The 7,235-nt window shown below is 37.7% G+C and overlaps 1 long non-coding RNA gene across 2 annotated transcripts in view; it reads left to right on the forward strand.

Moving 5' to 3' along the window:
- The window catches only part of LINC00924 (long intergenic non-protein coding RNA 924), a 74,755-nt gene extending 69,049 nt beyond the window's left edge, over positions 1-5,706 (forward strand). For both annotated transcript variants that reach the window (NR_027132.1, NR_027133.1), the window contains one exon: positions 3,913-5,706. This is a non-coding gene — a long non-coding RNA (long intergenic non-protein coding RNA 924). The remainder of the gene's footprint in view (positions 1-3,912) is intronic.
- Positions 5,707-7,235: the final 1,529 nt, after the last annotated feature.

A 7,235-nucleotide genomic window follows, 5' to 3' on the forward strand; every position in this document is an offset into this window, starting at 1 on the left:
GCTGTGACTTGTATAGGCTCTTTAATGACACCTTATGTATATATTGCCATCCTAATGAAGCTGTACCTTTTCTGAGAAGGGAAATTATGAGATGGTGGTGGCCATATGGTGGAACTGAAAGAGGCAATTCAATCACAGGCCCCCAGTTACAGTCCATACACTACCTTTGGCTTCCCAAAGAAACCTCCTCCACTTGGGACATTCTGAATCTCTTGAGTATACATTCAGGTAGGAAAAGCTGCATTATAAAAATAATGGAAGAACATGCTTTGAAACCTGAATGCATTAAATCATTAGTTGGATTTTTGTTTGTTTGTTTGTTTGTCTTAAGGCAGTTTGGACTGGCAACCATGCGCAAAGAGGAGAAGAGATACGAGTTTGCAGGGCCATTCCAGAAATGAGTAGTTATATAGGCATACAGTGGCATGGGCTTGAAGTGAAGTGAACACCGTAGGCATAAAAAGACAGTGAGAGCTGTGAGTAGATCTTCCTAATAAACACAAAATTCACATACTAGAAAATGTTAGATATATGTGACTAAAAATATTCTGGATAACAAGTACACACTGTAATGTTTAGAAGTCTAAGGAGAGTCAATCCAGGGAAAAAATAATTCATCTTTTCACAAAGTTCTATTATTTTAACTAATAAAAGCTCAAACAAATCAATAAAAAAGAAAACTAGCAATTTACAAAGAAGTAGATACAAATGGCCAATAAATATATTTAGATTCTCAGTTTTACTCAGAATTTTTTAAATTGCAAATTAAAATAACAGGAGGTGGGATCTGTGATTGGCTGGATTGGTCCTAAAGCACAGGGCATGAAGGAAAAGAACTAATGGGACTCCTAAGTGTTAGTGCTGCAAGATGATCTTAACAAATAGGGATAAATGAGAAGGGTAAGAGAAGTTAAGAAAGCATTTAATGACAAATGTGAAGTCACCAATTATTCAGATAAGTTGAGTTACAATTTGGTGTAAGAGGCAGGTGAGTCTCTTAAACATTTTCAGCATCCAAGGAAAATAAATATGACCATTGCAATTGAAGAAACTAGAGGGAGCCCAGGTCTGGCACCCCAGATGCCTGGCAGCAGACTTCTAATCTCCGTCCAGAGAAAGATGACTGGGCTTACCACAAGTCAATACCTGTGGACAAAGATAGAAAAGAGTCTATATGAATGAAGAGAGCTGTGAATGTACTGAAAATTGAGTGAGTCAAGGTCTTTACAGTGAAGTATAGATTACAAGATCCCTCAAAGTTCTAAATATGGGGTTAAGGTTATAGAACCATAGAAAAATGGGGGACTTGGAAGGGGAGGTTTAGACATTTTTCTGGTATGAGATTGAATTCGTTCAAACTCACTTAGATTGTAATAATGAGGTTCATTTAAGACCTAGGACTTGCTGAAATAATATGGTTAAAGCCATGAGACATTAAGATTGTACTTGCCATAACAGAACCCGTTTGGGTTATTATTAATCTAATCTCATAAGTGCACATAATACCTAAGCAAGCAAACCAAAGCTTTGAATTCAGTTTACACTAATAGTAAGAATATCTCATGGGCTTTTCACCAGGATTCTCTGTACCATTAAGCAATTACTAGTGGCTAGAACACTACTAGCCCACATGTCGCTATTTCTGGTTAGGGGATTTTCTTGCCTGCCTGACTAAATCTTCCAATTAAGTGCACTGGTAGTACATTCATTTCAGTTCTTCACTTACAATGCACAGTGGAAAGTATTGTTACTTCAAGTAAACAGCTTTAGGAGCTGTTGAACCACACACATCATTGCTGGTTTTTAGTCTTCCCGCCAGTGGTAGGATATCATTGTGTAACAAGCAAAGGTGAGGCCTGGAGACAAAGACAGTCTTTTTTATTGATATAGCAACATCTTTGTCAACAAAGTTACTATATCCAATGACATTTTCTTTTTTTTTTCTGCGTCTGTTAGTTTCAACTACAGAGTTATATTTAAATTTGCTCTGTTTAAAGTTTGGAATTTAAAGCCCAAGGAAGGTCAAAGTAGCATAAAGTCTCTCCTACAGTGTTCATCAGAAATCAATTAAAATTTATTTTATTTTTTAAATAAATTATTATAATTAACATTTATGACAGTTCTAAATAAAATCACATGGTAATAATAATTTATTATATTATGTATATGGATTTTTTAAAAAACAAGATAGATTCATGCCTAAAAATTAATACATTTAGGGTGGAACCAAGTCTGGAATCAGTTTTAATTATTTACAGTAAAGTTTTTTTCATGATGATATATAAGATCAATGTACAACCTTTTTGTAAATCTTATAAACCAGGAGAGAATGACTATCTCTGAAACACAGTGCAGTGATTAAGCATGGAGGCTATTAAAATAATAATTTCTGAATTCATACCATAATTCTAGCTTCAACTAGCTTTGATTAAATTTACTTATCTTGTCAATGCCTCAGATTTAGCTGTTAAAAAAAAAGCAATAATAGTACTTACCACACACAGTTATTGTGAGAATTAAATGAAATCCTGAATTATAGAACATACCATATTAGTTTAATCATTTATAACCAAGTGCATGTTTTTGAACCCTAGGGACTATAGTAATGGTACAAGATAATGAACACATAAATATTCCAGAGGATTTAGATAAAATCATAGATAATGGTAGCTCCTCCTCTTTTTTTTTTTTAACTGGAGTCAAGGATATATGGGCTATATTTATAGATTTTCATGATATAATCACAGAACTTACTAGAGTCCCTGAGAAAGTTCCTCATGATGGTACAACCTGAAGTGGACAATGAATTTGAAGCCTGATTGATAAGACAAAAGTACCTCAGTTACTGTAGAAAGATTTACTAATCAAAATGTGAATTGGATGGGTACATAATCCATTTATAAGTGAAAACATCCTCCTGGTCCCCACCTCTGTACAACTCGTAGAATGTTAGATGTCTTCAAAACTCTCTTATAAATGGATGGTAATATTTTTCTCTGTCTGATGTTTAACTTGATAATTTAAGAATAGTAGGAGTGTCAGAGTCAAATTTGTGGTATTTTCAGCTTTTTGATAATGTAAGTGCTATCCTACTTGTAAAATATCAAATACAGGCCAGGTGCAGTGGCTCACACCTGTAATCCCAACACTTTGGGAGGCCAAGGTGGGCAGATCACAAGGTCAGGAGTTTGAGACCAGCCTAACCAACATGGTGAAACAGCCTCTCTACTAAAATATACAAAAATTTGCCAGGTGTGGTGGCATGTGTCTGTAATCCCAGCTACTCAGGAGGCTGAGGCAGGAGAATTGCTTGAACTCAGGAGGCAGAGGTTGCAGTGAGCCAAGGTCGTGCCACTGCACTCCAGCCTGGGCAACAGAGCAAGATTCCATCTCAAAAAAAATATATATATATAAATATAATACTAATTTTTCATTGTTGCACACACAAATCCTCCAGAATTCCATATTAGACTCCCCCTTTCTCTATTACTTTAGGCATGCATAAGGTCCCAGGGTCTCACTGGGGTGGGGCAGGCACAGGTAGAAAAACTAAGGAACAAAAATTCTTGAGCAGCCTGACAATTTTTTAGAGTTAGCTAACTATTCCGACACACCAAACTAATGCAATTAACTCAAACTTTTGCTCTTTCTTTTCCTAGGGAGACATTAGTATTACACAGTGCAATTGGAGGCTTTCCTTCCGTTCTGCAACTTTTTTTTTCTTCGTTTAATCTTTAACTTTAAAAAAGAAACACCAAATTTTTTTTAGTCTTGCTCTTCGAAGCCAAGAGTGATGTTCAGTGGTAAAAGTTGTGGGGGCTTAATAAGAGAAACACTATCTCCCATTATGAAATTTTATAACTGTTTCTTTGTACTTATTTCCCAAACTAAAAGCCTTACTCTTTCACTTAGAGCCTGGCCAAAATGGAAAACTGCAAGGTTCAAATCCTGGAGTGCAGAAGAAGCATTAGGCATTGACCCTGTGGCTTCCTAATAGATCCGCAAAGTGCTTTGTTCCTGGAAATCATCCGATGAGTAGTTCAGTGCTATTGTATATCTTGTTAGAGCAGCCGAAGTGCCACAAAATGAACTAAAATCTCCCTGCAGAGTTGCTGTATCATATGCTGAGAACATTCGGAACTTTCAACAAATTCATGTTACGATCCTGGGTAGCCATGGTTAAATCTGTACAGGGGTTAAATGAGAAATATGAGCCTGCTGTTAAGTGTCTTCTGAGAGTGACAAAGCTCTGGCCATAAGGGATGGGAGAGGAGGGATTTCTTCTCAGCCTTCCAGCCCTTTCCAGCTGTATCACAGACAGGAGACATAATGCAAAGGGGCTCAGACATTGACTTCCTGGATCTTTGCGGCCCCAGGCATTGACCCCCTCTACCTGGCTTTTCCTACGCTGTAAAATGAGGATCCTCCTATATTATGGAGTTTATTGTGACAACTAAATAGCTGAGAAGAAGGACATCTCATTTGTTTTAACTATGCAGTTTCCTGTCTATCTATCTATCTATCCCATCAATCTATCAATCAATCTATCAATCTGTCTATCCCTATCTATCTATCCATCTATCTATCTATATCTGTCTATATCTATCTAACATTTATCTATCATCTATTCATCTATCAGCTATCTTCTGTCTATCAATATTTCAATCAATCTCTCTATCCCTATCAATTAATCTATCTACCTACCTATCAACTATCCATCTATCTCTATCATCTATCATCTATTCATCTATCATTTATCATCTGTCAATCCATCTTCCTACTATCTATCAAAAGCAACACATTTTCTTCCTGACTTTAAAAATATTTAAGTGGGCCGGGAGGATGGCTCACGCCTGTAATCCCAGCACTTTGGGAGGCCTAGGCGGGCGGATCACGAGGTCAGGAGATGGAGACCATCCTGGCTAACATGGTGAAACCCCGTCTCTACTAAAAATACAAAAAAAAAAAAAAATTAACCAGGCGTGGTGGAGGGCGCCTGTAGTCCCAGCTACTCGGGAGACTGAGGCAGGAGAATGGGGAGAACCCGGGAGGCGGAGCTTGCAGTGAGCCGAGATCATGCCACTGCACTCCAGCCTGGGCGACAGAGCAAGACTCCATCTCAAAAGAAACAAAAACAAAAACGTAAGTGATACTCTGTCCACTCTTTTGATTGAGGAGGTCTGATTTTCAGGCTTTGGATTTTATTATGTCTTCAATATAATAATTGTTCCATGTATCTCTCCTAAATTGCCATTTGAAAAACTGCTTTTCTGAAGTTTAAAGTGCACATTTTGATACATCTTGACACATATATACACCCATGAAATCATCACCACAATCAGGATAGTAGATCTATCCATTACCGCCAAGGTTTACTTGCACTCCTTTGAACTTTCTCCCCACTCCTCACCCCCTGCCTATCCCCAATCCTTAAGCAATCACTGATTTGCTTTCTGTCACTATCAGTTAATTTGAATTTTTCAGAAATGTATATAAATAAAATCATTCGACGTGTATGCTCTTTTTCTGTTCACCCGGTACAATTTGAGATTTAGCCATGTTTTTGCATGTGTCAATAGTTTATTTTTTTGTTGCTCAGTACTAATCCATTTTATGGATACAGAGAAATGTATTAATGCAATCCCATATTAATAGGCATTTGGGTTGTTTCCAGGTTTGGGCTGTTACAAATAAAGCTGCTATGAACATTTTTGTGCAAGTCTTTTTATGAGTATATTCCTTTATTTCTTTTGGGTAAATACCTAGAAGTGGGATGGGTGTATCACATGGTACGTAAATATTTAAATTTTTAAGAGAATGCCAAACTGTTTTTCAAAGTAATTGCACCATTTTATATTCCCACCAGGAATATATGAGAATTCCAGTTCCTCTACATACTCACAGACATATTGTATGGTCAGTTTCCCCACCTTCTCCCTGTCTCACCTCATTTCAGACATTTGAATAGGTATTAAATGGTATTTTATTGTGATTTAAATGTCATTTCCCTAATGACTAATCAAATATACTTATCCGTTTATTTGCTATCTGTATACTTTTTTGAAGTATTTGTTAAACTCTTTTGCACATTTTTAATGAGTTACATTCTTATGAAGATTGAAAACCCTTCATACAGTCTAGATGCAAGTCCTTTGTTTTGCCAGTATTCTTTTTCCAATCTGAGAAAGGGAGAGAGAAAGAGAGAGAAATCTTTGTGGCCTTGAAGATTTCTAAGGAATAATAAAAAAAAAATCATGATCTTTAAATGAAAAAAAATTTTAACTTAAAACATGTGTTCTTCAAAATACACTGGCTACAGATCTGTCCTCTCCTCTCCTCTCCTTCTTCTCCTCTCCTCTGCCTCTTCCCCCTCCTCCTCCCCTCTCCTCTCTTTTCTAATGCCTCCTGGCATCTCTGGCCTACTTAGGAACATTACTTGCCCCAGAGTTTCTGATACAAAAAATTTCCCCTCTTGACCTCATGCAGTATTCCATTAAAACAACAGTTGCTGCCTACTTATTGGGCTTTCCTGAAAACAGAGGCTCTCACAGTCTCCAAGCCTGTGACTGTATTCCAAGTTTCCCACCATGCTTTTAGTCATGAAAACTGCACTCCACAAGCTCAGCACAGCTACAGTCTTCCCTAAGACAGGATGGAGCCAAACTCAGGACCCCTGGCATATTCTGCCTGCAGGAATGGGTAGCTTTGTCTATCCTCAGACTTGTGGTACATGCCAGAGTGTCCAGGTCACCGCTCTTACAGAGCCCTTGGCTACCTGGAAGCCCTTGGGATTCCCCAAGTGAACAGTAATGGGAGTTCGTAGACTGTGTGGATGGCACTGCTGACCATCCTACATGGTAGAGCTCAGTGACACGTTGCTGTTTTTCATCCCTTAGCCAGGATATCCCTGGTAAAGGACAGGGCCCAAGGAACAGACTTGGCCAAGCTTCAGGCAGTCATCTTAGCCCTGGATGCCCTGGCCAACAAATGATCTCATCTTCACATTGATTAGAAACTATTGGGCCATTATGTAGAAATAGTCCCATTCAGGTAAAAAATCTGGAAATTTCTTGCCTCACGGATACCCAAAATATAACTCAAAAGCATGTCTGCGTATATACTATGGTCATAGTAAAAGTTCTTATCAGCACACTTTATCCTTTTTGGAGTTAAAAACATTACTCATAATAAACAAGACACATTTTATTTTTCAAAATACTTAAGCTGGGTTCTTG

The sequence above is a fragment of the Homo sapiens genome, chromosome 15 (genome assembly GCF_000001405.40).
Source record: "Homo sapiens chromosome 15, GRCh38.p14 Primary Assembly".
Lineage (NCBI taxonomy): Eukaryota > Metazoa > Chordata > Mammalia > Primates > Hominidae > Homo > Homo sapiens.